Source organism: Homo sapiens, chromosome 22 (genome assembly GCF_000001405.40).
Source record: "Homo sapiens chromosome 22, GRCh38.p14 Primary Assembly".
Classification (NCBI taxonomy): domain Eukaryota; kingdom Metazoa; phylum Chordata; class Mammalia; order Primates; family Hominidae; genus Homo; species Homo sapiens.
In genome coordinates, this window is record NC_000022.11 from 33,526,235 (window position 1) to 33,552,155 (window position 25,921).

At 44.7% G+C, this 25,921-nt stretch overlaps 1 protein-coding gene across 26 annotated transcripts in view, besides 1 other annotated feature; it reads right to left on the reverse strand.

The window, feature by feature from the left end:
• The window catches only part of LARGE1 (LARGE xylosyl- and glucuronyltransferase 1), an 856,162-nt gene that overhangs the window by 459,572 nt on the left and 370,669 nt on the right, over positions 1-25,921 (reverse strand). The gene's annotated exons all lie outside the window — the stretch shown is intronic.
• Positions 18,556-18,756: a silencer, noted in NCBI's record as "peak4484 fragment used in MPRA reporter construct". NCBI's record gives its function as "represses an SCP1 promoter by STARR-seq MPRAs in K562 erythroleukemia cells {active_cell/tissue: K562}" and the evidence as "EXISTENCE:reporter gene assay evidence [ECO:0000049][PMID:32103011]".

Below are 25,921 nucleotides of genomic sequence, written 5' to 3' on the forward strand. Positions count from 1 at the left end.
AAAAAAATTCTACAGAGGATTAGTGGAGAGCCTGTCTTAAGAGTTTCTAGTCTAATGAAGGAAACACACAAGTGAACAAATAGGTACAATGCCAGAGACTTAAAGAGGCCTGTTTTCGCCACAGATGACACTTAAAGAAAAGAGAGATGGACCTTACGTGGCTTGAGGGGAGAGAAGAGGCTTCAGAGAAAAGGCAGTATTCAATGCTGGACTTGGAGCCTTTGCAGGCATTTATCAGATGAAGAATCCTAGAATGGGCACCTGTTCACATTTCAGCTAGGTGCCTGGACTAAGGGTTTTGCTTGTAATGAAACTTCTGTAGTGTACAAGATTCAGAGAGTGCAGTATCCGTGTGCTCTCACATGGCTCAGCAGAGAGCCTACGCTGGACAGGCGCTGGGAAGAGTTCAGAGAGAGAACACAGAACACAAGTCCATCAACTGCAAAGGCTGTTCTGATCTTCCAGGGTAACTTTGATTTATTCTGTTTTCCTTTACTCTTGAGAAACTAAAACTTTCCATTTCCCGGACTTCCTTCTGTTCTCTTTGTACACTAATTAATCAAATACTCAATTAATCCACCATTTGATTAAAAAAATACACAAGGCAAGGGGTTGTGAATACAAAGAGAGAGTCACAGACATGCTCCCCTGCAGCTCACAGTTGACTACAGCATTTCTCAAAGCATGGCCTGAAGACAGCACCTGCGTTACCACGGGAGTTGCTTAAAAATGGAAATTCCGGCTGGGTGCAGTGGCACACGCCTGTAATCGCAGCACTTTGAGAGGCCGAGGCGGGTGGATCACCTGAGGTCAGGAGTTCGAGACCAGCCTGACCTACATGGAGAAATCCCATCTTTACTAAAAATACAAAATTAGCCAGGCATGGTGGCGCATGCCTCTAATCCCAGCTACTCGGGCGGCTGAGGCAGGAGAATCACTTCAACATGGGAGGCAGAGGTTGCAGTGAGCCGAGATCGCACCATTGCACTCCGGCCTGGGCAACAAGAGCAAAACTCCGTCTCAAAAAAGAAGCGAATTCCAAGGATAAAAACCCCTATAGGTCGGATGAGCTAGATTTGGAACTCTGTTTTCCCAAGCGTACTCCAAATGGTTCTGAGGCAGGTGGTTCACGTACAAAGATAACGGCATTACCACGTGGAAGGAGCTCAAAGGGCCAGTGAGATGATGCAGTGGAGACACAGAGCCAAGGCGATCGGATTTATGTTCCCAGGGGACAGAAATTCTGAACGGCCTTTCATTGGTGGGTGGCACTCGGATGGCAATCAGTTCAGAGGCTCTCTCAAAGATGAGTGCCAACTTTAATCCCTCTTGCTGTCTTTCTCCTTGACATGCTCCTGCATCGGTGTGACACCCACCCCACCCAGAGTCTGAGGTTCTCTGGCTCCTCTACACCCTCTTTAGAGGGAAGGTAGAATCATCTGCCCAGATGTGGAACCCATTAAAGGAAGGTGACAGCACAAAGAGAAAGTGACTGGCCCCTTGACCAGAACAAACCATAATAACAAAAGGAAAGAAGGGAGGGGGAGAAAGGGCCCAGGAGACAGTGGAGGAGGTGTAAACAGTGGTTCCCAAATGACAAACCACATCTGCTCCTAGAGCAGGACTCAGCTGGCTGTAGGCAGAGGTGGAGTTCCTGCATGGAAAAGCAGAACAACTTTGGTGCCAATGTCTTTTTGGACTTGAACAGATCTTAATCTTTCAGGGTCCCCCAGATTTTCTGCTCTGTAACATCAGAATATTAATATTGATCTCTCAGGCTGCTGGAAAGATTAAACGAGAAAAAAACCCATATGAGTAAAATATTCTAGCAACAGATCCTTGTACAGAGTAGACATACCCACTTTGTTCTTCAAACTGTGGGTTCTGGCAGAGGTCGGGGGGGGCGGGGCGGGGTAAAATCTCACAAAATGTCCAATATTAAGGATAATACAGTAGTGTCAGCTAAAGAATGATGAAGTTCATAAATTTGGAAAGGAGAGATTTATTTCTCATAAAGGGTCGCAGCCTGCATGGTGGCTATTCTAACAGGCTGGGGACTGTAGACTCCGTCAGAAACCAGAAACAGACACTTCACCAGAGGGAAAAAGGAAACAGAAATTTATGCTGATCAGGGTGACCAAATATACATATTCAATAAGCTATAGGAGGAGTCATGAATATTTATAAAAGGAGACACGTGCCCATGAGCAACTGAGCTTCATGGCCCTTCATGTGTCTCATGAACAAAAAATGGCAGAGTTAGCATTATCCAAGGGTGGAGGTTTTGATCCTCTGATGTCAAAAGGTGAAGCAAAGGACACAAAAACTCTTATTGCACATTCTCCATAGACTGGCCAGAACCACTCTGTGTTGGGTGATCTCTGATCAGGTGAAAAAGGAGGGGCAGCATCAGCAGGTTAGTAGATATCAGTCTCTTGAGAGGGCTGGTTTTTGTCAATCCCTTGCAGAAGAAAGCCTAACGGTGGTTAGCGAGGGAGGGGGCATAACGAGGTATGTTTGACACTGACACCCCCAACCCATCACGGCCGACAACTTAGTTGTCAAGGTTACTCTGGGGTCTCCTTGACCAAGAGATGGTCTGATTTGTTAGGGAGCTTAGGATTTTATTTTTATTTCTTAGTACTTAACATTTATTGAGTGTCTACTATACGCCAGGCATTGTTCTATGCATTTTGCACGTATGGAGTCATCTCTTCTTAGAACAAGCCTGAAAGACAGTTCATGTCATCAGCCTCATCTTTTATAGGAGAGAAACTCATCAACTCACCACTTCCCTTATCTCACTCCCTACACGTGGAATAGCACTTTTTTTCCTCTAATTATTCTCTCTTTTGTCCTTCCTCAGTATCTTTCCTATCAGCTTATGCCTTAGCCAAAGGAAACTCTATAAAGAATTGGGAAGGGACTTTAAAGCTTATCTTGCTTTTTTTTCAGGAGTAGAAATGGTGAGCCCTCTCTAATCCCTGGCTCATCGCCTTTGAGGACCATGATGGCCCCTTGCCTTGGCAGCCCAAGCCCTGAGCTCTCTATCCTCCCTCCTGCTCATGTGTCCCTCAGGTTGAACCAGCACAACATAGTTGTGACTGGGGTGCATCAAATGCTACAGCTCGAATTACCTTCCTAATTTACTGTGGTTGCCCCATTACCTACTGGGAATCCATGCAAGAGCACTTACCAATGGGGATGCTAAAGCAAAAAATGATAGCAGACAATAAAGTATACACAAGACAAAAGCAGCCCCAACGTGCCTAGCTATTAACCGGGTCAGAAAGTACTAAATGCCAAAAGGAAAGATGACGAGGCTCACAGCCTGCCAAATAGGCCAGTGAACTTAGGTGAATCACTTCCCCCATGCTGGCCATTATTTTCCCATCTGTGAAACGAAGGCAGGGGATCGGATCTTTTTCTGAGGTTTGCTGGAACAGATAGCATCTCTGGTTGATGAGAAGGCTGCATGTTCTAAGATGCAGGATGGTAAAATAGGAAGCACACGGGCTTCAAAGGCAAACCCAAATTTGACAACTGACTCTGTCTTTGCTGGCTGTGTGTTCTCGGAAGATTATTTCTCCTTTCTGAGCTTCATGAGGGATTCTCACTGCTATTAATATCTACCCAACCATCTTCCTCCTTCTCACCAGCTAACAGAACCATGTGTTTGTGTTTTGGCAGCAGCGGGAGACTGCTGATTTCAGGAAAGGTGGGCCTCTTCCTATCCTCAGGGAATAACTCATAATCTCTATAAACCAGACATGGTAATCCCCTTCCCTACTAGCAGCGATAGGGTCTAGGGTTCAGCTTATAACTAATTTCTAAACTATCAGATGTAAAGAGAAGTCTGCTTTGGAGGTTCCTATCCTAAATAAAAAGGCAGACTTCTGGGAAGAAGGGATTTTAGCTTTGCTCTTGCTTCCTGTTTGGGACTCTGAAGACAAGACACCTGGAGCTATGGCAGCCATCTTGCAACTATGAAGTGGAAAGCATGAAGATAAAAATCCAATGTGCTAAGAATGGAAAAAGGATGGAAAGAATCAGGGGCCTTGGAAACACTCTCTACCTCCTTATGGCTTACAGCACAGTTACTTGCAGCCAAAAGCTCTCCTAACTGAGATTATATAAATAACATCTGGCCCAGAATTTGGAAACGTTAAGAAAACTCACTGAAAGCTAGCAAACACCATTGCCTATTGGAAAGACTCTTGCTGAGGCTTTTTTTTTTTTTTTTTTAGCCATCAGATAAGTCTCCTAATGATACTGTTTTTATATTTTCCTGGTAAGTTAAAACGAAAACAAAACAACTAGGCAGAAAACGTCCTTCTCCTTTAAGCACTCTTGTTTTCTCTGGCCTTACAAGATTCAGCTCACCTAGGCATTTAGAAGCTAGGCATAGTTGCGCTCTGAGGACCATGTCCCATGAGGATCATGCATCAGCTTCACAAGTACAAGGCCTATCACACAGTCCCTGCAGAGCCTGAGTCTCCAGGGATGAGGACCAGGATCTAAAAGCTCCCTGTGTGATGAACTGTCATGCAGATTCAAATTTGAGAAATAGCAGCCTACATGATGCACCCTGGACTCCGATGTAATTATTTGGTTATCTAGTCATTTTCTTTGCTACTAAAAGAACAGTATCTTATTGACTGGCCATTAAGTACCATAGAGTACACACCAGAGACTCAGGAATTGCAGAGCTTGACTCTCTACCCAGTCATTCAATGTGGACAGGGCACTGATATCTGGTCTCACTCCTCATCTTCACACTAACAGATGTGAGAGTCTTGGTGACTGACTTGCCCTAATTGTACTTTGGCCTCTCCATCCATAACCTGACACCTGACAACATCAAGCCAGTAGTACTATACTTATAGACAAACTGGATCACCTACTCCATGTGCAGCATTCTTGTTTTGTTTTGTTTTTTTGAGATGGAGTTTTGCTCTTGTTGCCCAGGCTGGAGTGCAATGGCGCGATCTCGGCTCACTGCAACCTCCTCCTCCTGGGTTCAAGTGATTCTCCTGCCTCAGCCTCCCGAATAGCTGGGATTACAGGTGCCCGCCACCATGCCCAGCTAATTTTTGTATTTTTAGTAGAGACAGGGTTTCACCACGTTGGCCAGGCTGGTCTCGAACTCCTAACCTCAGGTGATCCACCCGCCTCGGCCTCCCAAAGTGCTGGGATTACAGGCATGAGCCACCGTGCCTGGCCAGCATTCTTTTGAATTATATCAATTATCTCTCCAACTACCTGGATGTGGACACCACTGTGACCTCCACACTTCCTTTTGAGAAGCCTAATGCAGATTAATTTACTGACTGAAGATCACACAGCTAGAAAATGGCACAAGGAAACATGAATATGTTGCACCGATGCTGCTTTTGTAATTGTGTGCTGCTGTCTTAAGACAAAGATCCTGATGAACTTGGAATCCTTCACCTGGAGAAATGCAGCATGGAGGAGGGAAACCGCCCAGGAGGCTCTGATAGTAGACTTCAATTACCTGAAGGACTGTCACAGTACAACCAATCAGCCTCAGCTGTAGGGTCTCAAGGACCAAACTCAAAGAAGGGAGAGGAAGTTAGAAAGAATGGTTTAGGATGCAAGGTTTGCTCAGGCTGCCCGGAACAAGAGAAGATTATCTTGCCGGGTGAGCTTCCTTCCAATGGTTCCATGCAACAGACACTGCATGCCTGCAAGGTGGGGATTGCAAGGAGGCGCCTGAAGCCTCAGGAGTGCCTAGATGATCTAGAAAGCTGTTTTAGTACATTTTTGCAATCAACTTAGATGCCGTAGTGGTGCACCACTCTGATGTGCCTAGCACAGAGTGAGCATTTAATTAACACTTGCTAAATAAATGGATGAATAGAACAGGGATGAAGAGGACCAAATCTATCCCTTATTTCATTCCCACCACTTGCTAACTCTAATAATCTCTCCCAACTTTTGTTTCCTTGTACAAAGAAATCTTGGGCTTCAGAATTTCTTTTAACGTTTTATTTCCTCCCCACCTAAAACACCTGTTCTAACCACCTTTGAGAAATTTTTGGAGGCTACGTGTGATACAGAAAGCTTCTTGAGGAAAAATGTTCTGTTTTATACTTGTTTCTGTCCCCACAGGATCTAGGTTGGGTCTGTACCTGCAGCAGGGAAATCTCTAGATGTGCAAGCCCTGACAAGGGGGAGACTAAAGAACAGCCATTTCCTGAACCCCAACTCTGTGCCAGACACTAATCCATATATTTCACATACATTATCTCAAATGATCCAGACACCAACACTCTAAGGCAGAGATTTTCATCCCCACTTTACAGATATAAAAACTAAGGCTAACAGAGGCTGGCTGTCACCAACTCAGGGTGAGAGGTGGCATAGTTCTTGCTTGCAAATTATTCTTATCATCATCATCCATGCTTAAAGTTTTAGGCTTCTTGGGTCCTTCTGTTGACATTTCTAAGACGTAACATTCAGACTGTGCTGATTTGTCAGAATGCAAGCAAGAATTCAGCCCTAAGATCCATTTCCCCTATACATACACCAAGAATGTGTTCATTCCTTTGTGAGTGCCAAGTAGTGTTAGGCGCAACGGCCCTGGAACCTGCTCATCGATGATGTCCAGTTAGTCGTTTACTTGAAATGGCCACTGAGAGCATGAGCTAGTGCCCCAAAGGGCCAGTACAGAGCAAGACACGTGGTAGGTTACAGCTCAAAGTGGTGCGTGTTGAATCCAAATGTTTGATTTCATGGTCTTTCAGTGGAAGGAATGAGAAAAGTAAAAACAAAATTGAGAAAAAAGAAACATCAAGTATATGCATGTCTACTGCAGGGCCCATGTTAAAGAAGGGAGTAAAACCCAAGCTAAATTATGAGCATCCTGGGCTGAGTGACATACAAAGGGCCAGCCACTAACAATGGGTACCAGTCTTCCGGGAGCTAACAGATGTTCATTTTATGAGCAAAGACAAGTGTTGTTCGGCTTTTTTAGGTACCTATAAAAATTGAATAATTTTAAGCTATTCTAATAGCTGCCTGACAATTTTATTAACGTCGTCAGCTGCTGGGTGGCCCTGTCCATGCCTGAAAGACCGAGTCCTCACTTGAGACTATTCATATCAGCTGGGTTCCATTCGAGCACCTTCCTTTTTTCAATTAGCTAGACAATGAAGATGCTGTCTCCCCATACGGCCCCTTGGAAACTTTGCGGCAGGCTGCCTCGATTGGCATACAGTTCTCTTTCTCGAGGCGATGAGGCTAATAGAAGCTGCAAAATCAGGCAGGGCTCCCTCAGCCTTAGTTGTTTAATCCAACAGATGTAAAATGCCCCGACTTTGTGGATTTTTACCAGTAATAAATGGGCTAATATCAAGTCGGGAAACGTTAGCCCAGCAACTGCACTCAATAAATGTATGTTTGTGTTTATTTCTCATGAGTCTAAAGTCATCTAAAAGAACCTAGATGGTAAACTGCCCCACTTCATCTTCTAATTTTTGACCCATTTTTAAAAATGTCAACACTCATGCTTTTAATTTCCTAAAGCTCTTCCTTGTTTTTCAAAGCTGCCTTTTTTAAAAAAAATGTAGGATCTTGTTCATATTTGATGGGTGAAATAGCTGTTTCATCTTTCTTAGGACATTAATTTCAGGTTTTTTTTTTTTGGACGTTTTCCGCTCTTCTCTGCCTTGACTGTTTCCTATCCATTTCTTTATTTTTTTTTTCATTTTGTCAAAACTAACCTGACTTTTTTATTAGAGCTTTTCCTCCAATGTTTACTGACTCTTCATAATGCGGATGAGTGAGGCATTAAAAGTAGGTGGGCAGCTTTGAGTGTGTGGGTGGGCTTCTTGACTGCAGGCCTTCACTAAAGAGGGATGAAGTCAGCCGGGCGTGGTGGCTCACGCCTGTAATCCCAGCACTTTGGGAGGCCGAGGCAGGCGGATCACGAGGTCAGGAGATCGAGACCATCCTGGCCAGCACGGTGAAACCCTGTCTCTACTAAAAATACAAAAAATTAGCCGGGCGTGGTGGTGGGCACCTGTAGTCCCAGCTACTCGGGAGGCTGAGGCAGGAGAATGGTGTGAACCCAGGAGGCGGAGCTTGCAGTGAGCGGAGAACACGCCACTGCACTCCAACCTGGGCGACAGAGCAAGACTCTGTCTCAAAAACAAACAGACAAAAAAAAAAAGAGGGATGAAGTCACTCACTGACTTCTACTGCATCCACGAGTGAGGGTCCAGTCAAGAAACCCCAGCTAGCGGAACCTTCATAAAGAGCTGCTAGCCAGGCATGGGAAATGTAAGAGCAAAGGGGGAATGCTGACCTGTCACACAAATGGCGACTGCAAGTGTCAACTGCAATCCTAGGGCTGGGGTAACACAGAAAGAGTGTGGATTATTAGAATTTGGAGCCCCACAGTGCTGGGACCCAGGCCTCCGAGGCGGGGCTGCCCCAGTGCTGGTTCTGGGTTTGGGGAGAGGATGGACTACAACTAGAATCAACAACACAACCAGGTGAGGTTGCAATGCTGGGCTGATTTTTACAAAAAACAGGAAGCAGACAGGCAGGAGCAAGTCTCTTCTTCCCCTCTGGACTCAGTCTTCCCATGGCGCTCCATCTGTAAAACCCCCAAAAGATACTGGCAGTGCTGAAATGCAGAGTCCCATCCCCACCATCTCAGAGCAGGGTCCAGTAGGGTGGGTTGAAGCCGAGAGTAATAACTTAATACGACTTTACATGAGCACTTGGCATATCCCAAGCATCATTATCACAATCTTGGGCTGGGCTGTTTCCCCAAAGAGGAATCATACAATCTCTTGTCTGGAGGACAGAAAACTGGCCTCAAGCCTTCTGACTTCTGAGTAGAGGAGGGGCTGAGGGGCCTCCCCCGTCAGGGCGTACGCCTTCTGTTCATCTCCTTGGTTTCACTCCAGCACCCTGCTGCAACCCTATCTGTGCACAATGAAGTGCGTGTGTCCGGAGCCACGCTGATGCTGTGGGTCCAAGAGAAAACCTCCAGCAGGCCAGGCGCGGTGGCTCATGCCTGTAATCCCAGCACTTTGGGAGGCCGAGGTGGGTGGATCTCCGGAGGTCAGGAGTTTGAGATCAGCCCGGCCAACATGGCAAAACCTGTCTCTACTAAAAATACGAAAATTTGCTGGATGTGGTGGCAGGCGCCTGTAATCCCAGCTACTTGGGAGGCTGAGACAGGAGAATCGCTTGAACCCGGGAGGTGGAGGAAGCAGTGAGCTGAGATCGCACTACTGTACTCCAACCTGGGTGATGAGAGTAAAACTCCAAAAACAAAAGAAAAAAAAAAAGAAAAAAAATGCAGCAATATGCAGGGACCAAAGAGGAATATCTCCCTGGCTGTATAAACTGGAGAAGAGGTAGGGGTTCTAACTATTTCTTATACAAACTATTGACCAACCCCCTCATAGGGCTGGGGATCCATTCCATGTGGCATTTGGGAATACCTGGAACCTCTCACGGCTGAGCCCTGTCTGGGATCAGCAAAGTCAATCAGCCCACTCCTTGCCTTGTTGCCCGGTGGGATCGCTGATCTGTGATGTCGGTTCCCCCGTCCCATCTGTATTTTCACTCCTGAAATTTGCCGGCAACCCTTGTCTGTATTCTCCTCTTCCAGTACCTTAGTCCTTGTGAACTACGCCTTCTTTTATTCCTTTCCTGCCATCTTGGTGGACTTTGAGAGACCATGGAAATGAGCTCATGTGTTCAAGTTGCCATGTTTTATAATTCGCATGAAACAAAAAAGTCCGCATGGTCACTTAAAACACATGTGCAAGCCCACTTTGTCCTCTGGGCCATCCTCTTGCAACATCTGCAGGGCATTACAATACGGCACTCTGAACAAGGGAAAGCCAAAATAATTTGGGTCATTTTGTTTGGAAAGAGAAGGCTGGAGAACAAATTAATGGTAGAGACGAGACTATTTGAGGACAATCTGCAGCTGTTCTCTTGCTCTGAGAACAGAACGAAAGGGCATGAGCAGAAAAGTGCAACATGAAGGATTTTAAGTAGATATGAAAAATCATCTCTCATGAAGATTACTGTGGTGGTCACATTGGCCTCCCTTCCTGTAATCTCTCTCTACAAATGGCCTTCTGTATGTTTCATGATTTGGGATCTCCAAATACAACAGAGCACGCATTTAATCAGTTATCAATTAATTACAGAAGGCTTAACGTGCTGAGCACCCTGCTATGCACTGAGGAGAGAGTGATAAACCAGACAGATAAGGCACTTTCCACTCCACACTTGTAGCTTTGCCAGAAACAAAGACAAGTCAACAAGCATTTTCAATAAAACATAATTATCTCTCCTGTTTCATCTTTATCTACTTTCATGAATAAATTTGGCCTTATGATGCGTCACAGAGTGGGCTAAGGCCCATGTTTCAGGACACGTACACCGTCCTTACCAGAAGGAGGTTTACCCGATGAGGCTGCCACGTCAGGCATGATGACTCCCATCTATCCCCGTTTTCACACATGAGGAAACTGAGGCTTACAGAGGTGGAATAAAGTTGAAAGGCCATTTATTTTATTTATTTATTTACTTATTTTTTGAGACAGAGTTTCACTCTTGTTGCCCAGGCCGGAGTGCGATGGTGCAATCTCAGCTCACTACAACCTCTGCCTCCCGGGTTCAAGCGATTTTCCTGCCTCAGCCTCCTGAGTAGCTAGGATTACAGGCATGCGCCACCACGCCTGGCTAATTTTGTATTTTTAGTAGAGATGGGGTTTCACCATGCTGGTCAGGCTGGTCTCAGACTCCTGACCTCAGGTTATCTGCCTGCCTCGGCCTCCCAAAGGGCTGGGATTACAGGCGTGAGCCACCGCGCCCAGTGAAAGGCCATTTAAAGAAGTGTGTCAGTTTTCCTATTCCTTCTGTACCACATTTCACTACAAATGACGTGGCTTGAAATCACACGTTTGTTCTCTGACAGTTCTGGAGGTCAGAAAGCCTGAAATCAGTCTTAGCAGGTTAAAGTCAAGATGTTGGCAGGGCTGGTTCCCTGCGGAGGCTCTGGGGAGAATTCGATTCCCTGCTGTTTCCAGCTTCCAGTGGCTGTCTGTATTCCTTGGCTTGTGGCCCTTAACTCCATCTTCCAAGTACATCACTCCAATCTCTGCTTCTATCATTATATCGCTTCTTCTCTCTGCAGCCAAATCTTCCTCCACCTCCCTCTTCCAAGAACACTCATTCTATTTGGGGGTCACCTGTATAGTCCAGGATACTCCCTCCATCTCAAGACCATTAACTTAATCGCTTATGTAAAGTCCCTTTTGCTATACAGGGTTTATTTGTTTATTTGTTTTTTTAAGACGGAGGCTTGTCTGTCACCCAGGCTGGAGTGCAATGGCGCAGTCTCGGTTCATTCCAACCTCCACCTCCTGGGTTCAAGCAAGTCTCCTCCCTCAGCCTCCCAAGTAGCCGGGACTACAGGCACATGCCACCATGCCCAGCAAAATTTTTTTTTGGATTTTTTAGTAGAGACAGGGTTTCACTATACTGGCCAGGCTGGTCTCAAACTCCTGACCTCGTGATCCACCCGCCTCGGCCTCCCAAAGTGCTGGGATTACGGGCGTGAGCCACCATGCCTGGCCCTATACAGGGTACTTTTTTACAGGTTCTAGTGCATGGATTAGGCTGAGGATGTCTTTGGGGGCCATTATCCAGCCTATCACAGGTAGAAAGAGGAGGACCTGCGATTCCAACCTAAGTCCTATGTCTCTGAGGCAGAGTGCCCAACCCCTTGCAGGCCTGCTTCCGGTGAACTCTCAGCTTTATCCACATCCACAGGTCATGGTGCCTCAAACAGCTCCTGCAGGATCATGCCTCCATGCCTTTTCCAAGGTGCTGTTTTTGCCTGGAATTCCCTGCTATTTGGACCCTCACAAACTGCTGCCTAGTCTTCAAAGCCCAGCTCTAGTGCTTCCCCTCAACCTCACCTACCCCAAGTGGAAGTAACTCTCCTTCAACTATGCCTGCACCATGCTTTTGGAAACTCTCTGCACAAGCAATGGCCATATTACTTTGTAGTTATTTTTGCTTTTTTCTTCCCCTTCTCCATTTACACAGGATTTCCTTCAGAGCAAGAATCACTTCTCTTTCTTGCGCATTCTTTAGTGTCTTCTGTGTCCAACATTACCTGGCACATAGTAGGCATATTTCCATACATATTTCTGAGCTGAATTGAAGCTAGTTAAAAAATGAATAGCATTACGAAGGTACATTGTGCAATCTTCCCTGAAGGTTAATGAAAAACGAAAATGGAGCCACATTTTTTATTTTGTTTCCCCATCAATTTACTGAGCCCAGTGTTGAGCCTTACTAGATGCTTGGAATACAGAGATAAATAAAACAGGGCACCTGCCTGGGAAGTAAGGAAAATGAGATGTAAGGCTCCCCCCACCACGTGGCAGCCACCATGCTTGGCACGGCCACACAAAGTAACTCAATGAAGGGGAAGGCCACTGGAGGACAAGGAAGCCGTCTACAAGAGATTACTCACTGCCCCTTCCAGCAAATGGGTTCTAGAAAATGAGCTTCTGATCTCCTCTCTGATTGCTGGCAAGTTTGCTGAATTTCAGAATGCTTAATACAGAGTTAAAAGGCATTTTAGGATATCTTCCAGTCCAGTGTTTTTGAAACTAGGGTTTGTAACACATTTGAAGGTTGTGAAAATAATTCAGTGGATCTGAGCAAGCATTTTAAAAATTAAAATACATTAAATAGATTAGAAAAGAAATATAAAAATTCACTGAACATAGTAAGGTCAAGTATTGTTTTACGAAAATATTGTTTTAATTGCTCATCTGCATATATGTGTGTATATATGCCTGTATAAACATACATACACACATATGTCTTTTGGATTGTGATGAAAAATGTATTTCTGACTGTAGGATACAATCAAAAAAGTGTGAAAAGTATGGTTGGCCCTACATCTGCACTTCATAGATTCTTTGTCAAAATTTTCTGATTAAAAGAAAAAAAAAAAGGCAAGTCCTGGTAACAGAATCCTGCCAGCTCTTTTAATAAAAGAACTGGTAAATAAATTCCCCATGCCCATGGGCATCCGCACTTCACACTCATCTTATCACCAACCCTGAGGACTGGATGTTCTTTTATTAAAGGAGCCAGTGGGATTCCACATAGGCCCAATGGGGTAAATAACTTGCTCAAACATATCCTGTTCTATTAGCTAGGCTGGCTTGACAAACTTATGTGGAAAGTTCCTTAAATAGCCTACAATGCAATTTCCTTTAGATTGTCACAATCAAGATCAGAATATCTAGAAATGATCTAATTAAATCCTCCAAACTTTTTTTTTTTTTTTTGAGACAGGGTCTCGCTCCACTACCTATACTGGAGTGCAGTGACACGATCACAGCTCACTGCAGCCTCAAATTTTCCAGGTTCAGGTGATCCTCCCACCTCAGCCTACCAAGTAGCTGGGACCACACCCACCTGGCTAATTTTTGTATTTTTTTGTAGAGAAGAGGTCTTGCTATGTTGCCCAGGCTGGTCTCAAATTCCTAGGCTCAAATGATCCACCTGCCTTGCCCTCCCAAAGCGCTGGGATTACAGGTGTGAGCCACTGCACCCGGCCCTCTAATCTCTTAAGATGTGTAGTAATAAGACAAAATATGGGCTTTGAAGTTCTTCTGACCCGGGATAAAATTCCCAGCTCTACTGACCATGTGACCTCAGATGCCTGTGGGGGCTCAGGTCCTTCATCTGCACCACTGGCAGTGGCCTGGTGCACGGGGGCCAGTCCCTTTTACCCTGTGGAGGCCTGCAAAAAATAGGAGCTTGGTGTACATTAACAGCTCCTGCCTTCTACTCCCCTTCTCTTTCTATGAATATTTGCAGAGAAGTTAAAAAGTAACCACATTGCCAACTACACTAATGAGTCAAGGAGAAGGACTGCTGAGAAAATGGCATTTCTCCTCCTTCGACAAAAACAACAGAGCCATGTGAACCTCCATTCTGTGACTGGGGCGCCAAGAGGCCGGGCCTTGCCAAGTCCCCCCCTGTGCTGTTTGCTAGTGAAGAGTTTGGAGTTGACTAAGTGCCAACCTCAGCTCGGCTGTGTGTGCTTGATCCTATGACCAGCCCAGCCCTGACCTTTTCTGGTATTTATGATGTTGGATTGGATTTTGATCACTGTTTGAGCTCTTGACACAAAATAAACAGGATGACCCTTTTCCCTGGGAGGGACAAGTGCCAGGATTTTAATCCCGTCTCCAAACACTCCTCCCAAACAGTACCCTGCCCCACTGCCCCCATGGCAAAACAACCAAGACACAGTGTCTCTTTTGTTGCAGTAGCCAGCAGATCCTGGGATAGCAACCTTAGGGCAGTGAATCTCAACCCTGGCCACACTTCAGCATTATGTAGGGAGCTTTCAAAAATACGGCAGGCCACTGCCCATACCAGAGGTTCTGACTTGGCTGATATGGGGTAGACCTGGGCATCATTATTCTTCACGTGCTCCCCAGATGATTATAACTTAAAGGCAGTGTTGACAACAACTGCACTCAGAGAAGAGAAGGTGCCCAGTTTTCCTATAAAGTATGGCAGACGGGCACAGCGGCTCACACCAGTAATCCCAGCACTTTGAGAGGCGGAGGTAGGCGGATTGCTTGAGCACAGGAGTTCAAGACCAGCTTGGGCAACGTGGCAAAACCCCATCTCTATTAAAAAAAAATATAAAAATTAGCCAGGTGTGGTGGTGCACACCTGTAGTTACAGCTACTCATGGTGGCTGGGGTGGTGGGTTGCGGGGGGGGGGGGGCGGGGGGCGGGTTGCAGGGGGAGAATCACCCAAGCCCAAGAGATTGAGGCTGTAGTGAGCCGTGATTGTGCCACTGCACTCCAGCCTGGGCTATAGAGCAAGACCCTGTCTCAAAAAAAGTGGGGGAAAAAAAGAAAAAAAAAAAAAAAGAAAATATGGCAGGGAGAGGTTAATTGGATCACCAAGATTACGGAGCCGGGGCTGGGACTTGAACACAGGGCAAGCCGACTTTTTGACTTTTATGTTTTAGCATAACAAAGAAAAATGGTTGTGATGCAAAGTTAAGACGAAAAAGACTGGTATACAAACAGGATTATATTATGATCCCAATTTTATAAAAGAATCCATCCTATATGCACAGAAAAGCATCTGAAATATTAACAATAGCTGACTGTAGGTAGTAGAAATATACACAATTGAGTTTCATTCTTTACCTTTGTGCTGATACGGACATGCATTGTTTTATTCATGACACACATGTATAAAGTGGATCAGTCTGGAGAACCTTAATGATGCCTCCAGCAGAGCAATCCATTCTTGAAAAGGTCTAGTCAATTCTTGTTTTTTCCTTCACTATTACAATGAGGCCCAGAGGGTCTTTTTGTGCTGACTGCCCTCATCCTGTCTGGAGTCATCGTCTTACTGTTCTACAAGGAAAACACATTTTCTTTCCAAAAATTAAAAAAAAAAAAAAAAGGCAGTGCTGATGTCATGGGATATCAGGGTATCTCTAAAATCTTAAGTCAAGGAAACAAACATTTGGGGTTGAGCCCCTACTGTACGTGTCTATGAGAAACATTAAGAGCTATTCAAGGCTGGGTGCAGTGGCTCATGTCTATAATCCCAGCACTTTGGAAGGCTGAGGCGGGTGGATCACCTGAGGTCAAGAGTTGGAGAACAGCCTGGCCAACATGGTGAAACCCCATCTCTACTAAAATACAAAAATTAGCTGGGTGTGGTGGCGGCTGCCTGGAATCCCAGCTACTCAGGAGGCTGAGGCAGGAGAAACCCTTGAACCAAGGAGGTAGAGGTTGCATTGAGCCGAGATCGCACCACTGCACTCCAGCCTGAGCAACAAGAGCAAAACTCTGTCTCAAAAAAAAAAAAAAAAAAAAAGAATAAAAGCCCACTTCCATTGTAACTGCTACCAGATCTGTCTCCAGAGATATAGACTACAATCTAGCATGATTTGGAAGCCAAATGTTATGTTTTGAGATTCTCCCTGGGCTGAGCCAGCAGGTCACTGTTCATTAGTTGAACTCTCATGGGAACCCTGTTTGGGGCAGATTTCGTCATTCTTCCTCACTCTGTGTCTCCATTCCTGCCTTGGACAGTGTTTCATGCCGGATATAAACTCAGTGACTCAAGTCCCCTTGGTGACTTCAGGGTCCCTCTTATTTGCTCCTTTAAAGGAACAGAAGGGAGAAAAATATATCGTAGAATCCAAAGAGCCCAGAGGCCAGAGACCTAATTTTGTTTATTCAATAACTAATATTTTAGTATCTAGTAGGCTTGGATAGGTATATAGAACCTTGAAGGCACAGCCAGCAGGACTTACTGGAAGATAAATGTAGGGTATGAGGACAAGAGAGGTACCAAAGATGCCCGCTTTTATATGGTTCTGGCTTTGCCCCTGACAGTGTGAATTTGCATCAGATCCATAGACCTGAAAGAGACACTGGGCCCACCTACTCAAATCCATTTATTTTACTAATCATTCATGCTTTCTATAGTCACTCAGTGAAGCACTTACTGAACAGATAGCTTAGGATCAGAAAGGTAGAGGGACTCGCCTACAGCTAGTAAAGATGAAACACAGACTTCTGTCCAAGCGAAGTTCTCTTGAAATTGCATCATCCAAGTCAAAGACCTTAGAACCTTCTTGACCTTTGCAACAAAAGGCACTGAGCTAACTCATGACCTCTAAGATCCCTTCCAGTCCTTCTTTCCTACATGTGTGCATGTAAGTAAAGCTACAAAATGCTCTGTTTCCCGCTGCTTCTGTACAAGACTGGAAAGAAAATTTATCTTTCGACACATCCCTTTCCACTTTGACACTAATTTATTTTTTAATTGATCTCCCAGTAAGGCACACACCTAATTGGCTTGAATGGTGACACAGTTAATTAGGCCAAAAAAGAAAAAAAGAAAAAAAAAAAGGCCCAGGATGGTGAGCCCAAGTAGTACTACTTAATAAGAGCGGTGGCCAATTTCTCAGTGAAGAGGAATTTGTAAAAGGGAAGATCAAAGAGATAATTCAGCTTGGTCAGAATTTTAATTTAGGTCACTTTCATGGATAAATAGGCTGCAGATACCACCTTTTCCATCTAAACAGATTAATCCTCTAAACGGCTACAGAAAACTCATCCACGCATCAAAAGTTTACAAATGCCTATGATAAGCTGGGTACTATGCTAGGCTATGGGGGTAAAGGCCCTGTCAATAAGGAGGCTCTGACAATTTAAGAAGGGAAACAATGATGGTAGTAAGTGGAAAAGAAGTCAGAAGAAAACATTTTATTTACTTAGCATGGGTTCTGTCAGCCAGCATGCTTCTTAAGGTCGCAAGTGACAGAGACTTTACTGAGACTTAAGCAGTTTTTAAAAAGAGAAATTTTGCTTCAGGCATGGCTGGAACTAGAGACTCCAACACAATGTAATCTAAAATCTGTCTTCTCTTTTCAAGCTCTCAGATCTGTTTGCCCTCTCAGACAAACTGACTGTCTAGGAAAGAGGTAACACGGCAGGCTTGACACTGCTGTCCTTAGAACGATGAACTGCTTGCAAGACTGGCCCTTGGCTGGCATCTGAGAACTGGGGTTTTGGGAAGCTTCCTGCTATTCTCTAAGAGCTCACTGTGTCTAAACTGTGCAAACAAAATGGTTTACCATAAACACCTGCTTTCCTTCTGGGAGTCTAGAATTTTGGTATGTCCTAGAGAATGTCCACATAACCAGCCCCCAATAAAAATCCTGGGTGCTGAGTCTCTCATGAGATTCCCTTTTGGGCAACATTTCATGTGTGTTGTCACAACGTATTGTTGGGGGAATTGGCATGTCCTGCGTGACTCCACTGGGGGAGGACTCTTGAAGTTTGAGCCTGGTTTCCTCTGGACTTCACCCCATGAGCCTTTTTCCTTTGTGGATTCTGCCTTATATCTTTTTGCTGTAATAAATCATATCTGTGAGTATGACATACACTGAGTCTTGTGAGTCCTCCTAGCAAACCAGTGAATTTAGGGGTGGTCTTGGAAACTCCTGGCGGTGTCAAAATGACAAATGGTGGTTCCAGCTTTGCCTCATCACAGTTTAGCAAATAGAGTGGAAAGAGTACCTTTCTACCAGGTGCGGTGGCTCACGCCTGTAATCCCAGCACTTTGGGAGGCTGAGGCGGGCAGATCCCCTGAGGTAAGGAGTTTGAGACCTGCCTGGCCAACATGGTGAAACTCCATCTCTACTAAAATTACAAAAATTAGCTGGGTGTAGTGGTACGCCTGTAATCCCAGCTACTTGGGAGGCTGAAGGAGAATCACTTGAACCCTGGAGGTGGAGGTTGCAGTGAGCTGAGATCACACCGCTGCAGTCCAGCCTGGGCAAACAGAGCAAGACCCTGTCTCAAAACAACAACCACAACAACAACAACAACAACGAGTACCTTTCCCAACAGCACTAGCAAAAAGCCTTGGCGTAATGCTTACTAGTTCTGATTGGTTCAGCTTGGGTCACAAATCTGCCCTAAACCAATCCCTATAGCCAGGGAGATGTCTGTGGTCTTGCAGCTGGCCAGGACTGAGTCATGTCCTTATCCCTTCAGCCAGGGATGAGATCAACACCCCTCAAACACACTAAAAACCAACTGAAACAAGCAAGGAGAGATATGGTGTTCAACAGAAAAACAGTCATTCTGCTGATGTTACTGGAAGGAAGAAACGTATGCTGAGCAGGCAGAACACCACAACTACCACAGTAGAACACAAACACAGTATATCATGAGGAAGCACGTGTTATAGTGAAACATCAAAACCACAACAACAAAAAGAAAAATCACAGACATAGAAGAGACGAATTCATTCTCTCACTCTAAATCTGCGCTTCCTTTTGTATTCCCTACTTAATCTGCAAACTGGGAAAGTAGGTCATGTACAAATCTTTTTTCTTTTGTACTACACCTGACCAGAACACCTATGTCTTTCCTTTTCTTTTTTTTTTTTTTTTTTTAGAGACAGGGTCTCATTCTGTTGCCTAGGCTGGAGGGCAGTGGTATGATCTCAGCTCACTGCAGCCGCAGCCTCCTGTGTTCAACTCAGCCTCCCAAGTAGCTGGGACTACAGGTGTGCACCACTACACCCAGCTAACACACACACACACACACACACACACACACAATTTCTTCTGAGTTGGAGTCTCGCTCTGTTGCCCAGGCTGGAGTGCAGTGGCACGATCTCAGCTCACTGCAACCTCCACCTCCTGGGTTCAAGAGATTCTCCTGCCTCAGCCTTCCAAGTAGCTGGGACTACAGGCACATACCACCATGCCTGGCTAATTGTATTTTTTGCAGATATGGGGTTTTGCCATGTTGGCCAGGCTGGTCTCGAACTTCTTACCTCAAGTGATCTGTCTGCCTCGGCTTCCCAAAGTGCTAGGATTACAGGCATGAGCCCCTGCGCCCAGCCAACACCCAGCTAATTTTTATATGTTTGTATGGACAGGGTTTCGCCATGTTGCCCAGGCTGGTTTCGAACTCCTGAGCTCAAGGGATCCACCAGCCTTGGCCTCCCGACGTGCTTGGATTACAGGCGTGAGCCATGGCAGGTGCCCTGGACACCCATTTTAACCCTTTAATAGCATTTGATTCTGCTGTTGTGCTCAACCTCTGCCTTAGTTCAGGCCATGATCATTCCTTACATGAATTATTGACATGGCTTCCTAATTGGATGCTCGGTTTTGGTTCCTCCAAACCATTTCTCTGACAAGCGCACACTCACCTTTCTACACTGAGGACTGATTAGTATGACCTGGTCAGTCTTCTCCTTATGAGACTGTCAGTGGATTTTCAGTGCCTTCCAGAAAAGGCCAAACTCCTTGGCATGGCACAGCACGCTAAATCCTTCATGACCTAGCTCCTACCTACTTTTCGATCTGCCATCACCTTCCCAAACCCTCCGATCTCACCAACCACCTGATTCCTTAGGGAATGCAACTGACATAGGGAACACACCACGCTTTATCATGCCTTCCTGCCTTTGGTCCATTCTGTGCCTTTTGTTTGGAATGGCCTATTTGTTCCCCTTTTCCCAGGTGGAGATCTCCAGCCAATCAACAAGGACCGATTTCTCTTAGGTTATGGGGGATGTCTTTCCCAGGTTCCGAAATTAATGACTGTCTCCATGGCAACACCATTATGTTTGGCACATGCCCCCTTTTCTCTCACCATAGTCCTTTATCTTTGACTGCCCTTCGGAATTCTCAGAACAGGACCTCCATGAAGGCAGGTGAACCATCTTATCCATTCTTTTTTTAAATTTTTTATTTTTTTTGAGACACAGTCTCACTCTGTCACCCAGGCGGGAGTGCAATGGTGCAATCTCAGCTCACTGCAACCTATGCCTCCTGTGTTCAAGAAATTCTCAGCCTCAGCCTCCCAAGTAGCTGGGACTACAGGTGCATGCCACCATATCTGACTAATTTTTGTATTTTTAGTAGAGATGGGGTTTCACAACGGTGGCCAGGCTGGTCTCAAACTCCTGACCTCAGGTTATCCGCCCACCTTGGCCTCCCAAAGTGCTGGGATTACAGGCGTGAACCACCGCACCTGGCCCATCTTATCCATTCTTACAAACTCGGTACTGATTTAGAGATTGATGAGGAACAGTGCTTCAAAACCTGTGGAATAAATCAACTCGTAATAGTGGAGATGGTTGTAATCTTGGCTCTGCCACTTGCCAGTTAGAAGATTTTAGTATTTAGTATTATTTAACCTTTTTAAGCATTTTTTTTTCTCTTCTAAGATGTGGACTGAACTGTTATATGCCAGGTCTTTTGTGAAGATGAAAGAAGCTAATGTATGTATGTATGATACCTAAACTGTATGTACAGCAGTCCCTAACCTTTTTGGCACTAGTGACCAGTTTCACGGAAGACAATTTTCCATGAAGGGTGGTGGGGGGGAGGGTAGGATGGTTTGGGGATGAAACTGTTCCACCTTAGATATCAGATAATCAGGCATTAGCTCGATTTTCATAAGGTGCATGCAACCTAGATCCCTCGCATGCGCAGTTCACAACAGGGTTTGCGCTACTATGGGAATCTAATCCCAGCGCTGATCTGACAGGAGGTGAAGGTCAGGCTGTAATGCTTGCTCGCCTGGTTCCTAACAGGACACAGACCACACCGGTCTGGCGCCCAGGGTTTGGGAACCCCTGGTCTAGACCATACCAGGCTTCTTAAAAGCACGTTCTCATGGCTCACGCCTGTAATCCCAGCACTTTAGGAGGACGAGGCAGGTGGATCATGAGGTCAAGAGTTCAAGATCAGCCTGACCAACATGGTGAAACCCCATCTCTACTTTAAAAAAAAAAATTAGCTGGGCATGGTGGCATGTACCTGTAATTCCAGCTACTCAGGAGGCTGAGGCAGGAGAATTGCTTGAATCCGGGAGGTGGAGGTTGCAGTCAGCTGAAACTGTGCCACTGCACTCCAGCCTGGACGACAGAGTGAGACTCCATCTCAAAAAAAAAAAAAAAAAAAAAAAAAAAAAAGCAGGTTCTCTAAAAAAATGTACCATATTAATAATAAGGGGAACAGGCTATAGGGTATATCAGAACTCTCTGTATTGTCTTCATAATTTTTCTGTAATCTAAAACTGTTGCCATAAAAAAGTTATTTTTAATAAAGAAAATAAAGAGTCCATCACTGCCGACCAACCCTACCCCACCCCCCAACTCCCAATATAAGGCAGATGTTTCAAGGACTCTTACATGGTTTGGGTTCTGTGTCCCCACCCAAATCTCATGTTCAGTTGTGATCCCCAGCGTTGGAGGTAGGGCCTACTGGGAAGTGAATGGTTCACTGGGGTGGATCCTTCACAAATGGCTTACCACCATCCCTTGGTATTCTGGTGATAGAGTTCTCATGAGATCTGGTTTTTTAAAAAATGTGTGGCACCTTCCCCTACGCTCTTTTGCTTTTGCTTCTGCCATGTAAGATGCCTGCCCCCGCTCTGCCTTCTGCCATGACTGTAAGCTCCTTGAGGCCTCCCAAGAAACAGATACTGCCATGTTTCCTGTACAGCCTGCAGAACTGTGAGCCAATTAAATCTCTTTTCATATAAATTACCCAGTCTCAGGCATTCCGTTTTTTTTTTCTTGAAATGGACTTTTCACTCTTGTTGTCCAGGCTGGAGTGCAATGGCTCAATCTCTGCTCACTGCAATCTCCACCTCCCGGGTACAGGCGATTCCCCTGCCTTAGCCTCCCGAGTAGCTGGGATTTCAGGCATGTGCCACCACACCTGGCTAATTTTGTATTTTTAGGAGAGATAGGGTTTCTCCATGTTGGTCAGGCTGGTCTCAAACTCCCAACCTCAGGTGATCCGCCTGTCTCAGCCTCCCAATGTGCTGGGATTATAGGCACGAGCCATCATACCCGGCTCAGGTATTTCTTTACAGCAGTGTGAGAACAGACTAATACAGGCTCCCTTTGTTATTTATATTGTAGTATACAATGTCTCAAAAATAAAATTTAAAAAGAGGATTATTGGCTGGATTTGGGTAATCTTCTCTTTTATCTCATAAGAATTTGTGCTACCATGGGATATGACCTGTGGTCATTTTTGACATCTAAGCAGTAACGAAGAGAAGCCTAAAATCCACATGCCTTCTTTGTCCCTAAAATTCATCAGGAGGCAAATAAGAAAATAAAAGCCAGACCTTCCTTTTCTGATGGAGGTGGTTATTAATGAAAAAAGTATCCCTTTGCTTCTAGGGAAGCTGGTAATTTCCACCAGGACCTACTCTGGTTGACAGTGTTCCTTTAAAAGGCCCCTCCATTCATTTCAATAAGGACCCTCCATTCATCTCAATAAGGACCCTGCATACATACCTCTGCCTGCTGCATCCTTCCACATGGGCAAGCCCAGTGCATGGTGCAGAGAAGAGACCAGCATATTTGTCTTCATTGACAGGCCACATATGTCTTTGTCATATATTAGATGCTTCTAATAATCTATGTATATGCATTTAGGAGGAAAAAAAAGTTGTGTCTTCTTGATAGTCATAGAATGGCATACACTGGTTCCTCTCTTCACGGATATGCAGATGAGCTGCAAGTTGTTCCCTCTTGTAATTTCGAGGGAAGACCATAAATTCTAATGGGTCCTAACTGAATCTGTGCCCTTTTGTGGATGTGAATGCTTTTGAGTCTGGTTAATTCGATCACACTTTCTCTTGGTATTGTGTATCCTTCTAGATCCAGGGGAATGAATGAATTTATTTATCTTCTGAAAGAGGAAATTCACTACTAGATGTTCAACTATCCATGGCCCTGGAAGTGAAAATTCACAGTTCATGCATCTTTTGAGGCTAGTGTGGATTACAAATAAGAAGGGAAAGCAAGTCAGAAGCACATAAAATAGGAGTTTAAGAAAAGTCAAGTCAAAGAGCACATGGATCGTGGACTATGAGTTATGAACTGAAAAAGAAGTTGTGGTGTTCCCAGCCCTGTGTCCAAGTGTTCTCATTGTTTAGTTCCCACCTATGAGTGAGAACATGCAGTATTTGGTTTTCTGTCCTTGCGATAGTTTGCTCAGAATGAAGGTTTCCCATCATTCTGTTGCTTCATCCATGTTGCTACAAAGGACACGAACTCACCCTTTGTTTACGGCTGCATAGTATTCCATGGTGTACATGTGCCACATTTTCTTAATCCAGTCCACAGGGTCAGGGGATGGGGGAGGGTTAGCATTAGGAGAAATACCTAATGTAAATGATTAGTTAATGGGTGCAGCAAACCAACACAGCACATGTATACATATGTAACAAACCTGCACATTGTGCACATGTACCCTAGAACTTAAAGTATACACACACACACACACACACACACACACACACACATATATATATATGTATGTATGTATATATATATAGAAGTTGTGGAAGGTTTAGATTTCATTTCTTGGGCCAGTCGCTATTAACCACTTAAAACTACCAAGTCCACTACATATTCCTAAAGGACCCTACACATTTCCATCAGTAACAGTGGGTCATTAAGGAAGTGGTTCTCAACAGGGAAAGACATTTTCCTCAGGGGACATTTGGCAACGCCTAGAGATATTTTTGCGTGTCATAGCTGGAGGGGCATAGGATAGAGGGAAGAGGCTAGGGATACTGCTGAACATCCCACAGTGTGAAAGACAGCCCTTCCACCACAAAAAGTTATGAGATATCATCTTAAACTCAGTCAGAATGGCCATTATTAAAGACAAAAAATAACAGACATTAGTGAGGATGTGGAGAAGACGGAACTCTTATACACTGTTGGTGGGAATGTAAATTAGAAGAAAACAGTATGGAGAGTTCTCAAAAAACTAACAATAGAACTACCATTCAATCCAGCAATCCCACCACTAGATATCTAACCAAAGGAAAAAGAAATCATTATATAAGAAAGACACCTGCACTGATGTTTATCACAACACTACTCACAATAGCAAAGACATGAAATCAACCGACGTGCCCATCAATGGATAATGCAAATGTGGTATACAGATGCATATCACAGTACAACGAAATACTATTTAGCCACAAAAAAGAATAAAATCATGTCTTCTGAAACAACATGGGTGGAACTGGAGGTTACTGTCTAAGTGAAACAAGCCAGACAGGGAAAGTCAAATATCACATGCTCTCATTTATAAATGGGAGCTAAAAAATGTGTACACATGGATGTAGAGAGTGGAAAAACAGACAATGGAAACTCAGAAGGGTAAAGGGATGGGAAAGGGGTGGATGATGAGAAATTAATGTGTATAATGTGCATTATTCGTATAATAGATACCCTAAAAGCCCTGACTTCACCACTACAAAATCTACACATGCAATAAAATTGTATATGTACCCCATACATTTGTACAACTGTTAAAAACACACAAAGACATATACAGCCCAAAATATCAATAGTGCCAACATGGAGAAACCCCGTACTAAGGCAGATTCTCCAGTCACTGGTGATGAGCAGGCCACTGTGCAGAGATAAGAGTGGACATGAACCTGTGCAATTTGAAAAGACCCTACAGGTAATTCCAGTACTTCAGCTACCCTCCTCTCCATGGCTCAGAATTACTGTTCAAAAGGCAGAGCTGTCAATGATCATGAGGCTGCTGCTTAGCCTTCACATGGCTATTAGTTCAATTTGGCCTGTTGCTTATGGAGAGTAGGAGTAACCCTGACTTTCATGTGGGATTCCCAGACAAGATACATCTAGAACAAACAAGAAAAAGGAAACTGGCTTCTTTTCTTAGCACATGATTCTAAAGGTGTGGACTTTATCTCCATAAATTCATTCAACAAGCCATTTGTTTCTTGCCTCAAGGGATTTGTTTATTGCCTTTATTAGGTCCTAACCTACTCACTCACCCTCTTTGTCCAGAATGTCCTTGGAAAGCCCTGTCCCCTCTACGCATCCACAATAGCTGTGTCTGCAATCAAAATCTCTTGAACTCAAAGCAGCTGATGTTAAAAGTTATCTAGCAACCCCATCTCTACTAAAAATACAAAAAAATTTAGCCGGGCGTGATGATGGGCGCCTGTAGTCCCAGCTACTTGGGAGGCTGAGGCAGGAGAATGGTGTGAACCCGGGAGGCGGAGCATGCAGTGAGCCGAGATCGCGCCACTGCACTCCAGCCTGGGCGACAGAGCAAGGCTCCGTCTCAAAAAAAAAAAAAAAAAAAAAAGTGATCTAGCTAAAAAATTCACATTAATCACGGGTAATACTAAAATGTTCCCAGAAATATCAGATCTTTTCAAGGAAGGCTAAGTCAGTCATATGAATTTCTAACGGACTGAGCATTAAAGAGCATAACTTGTGCATATG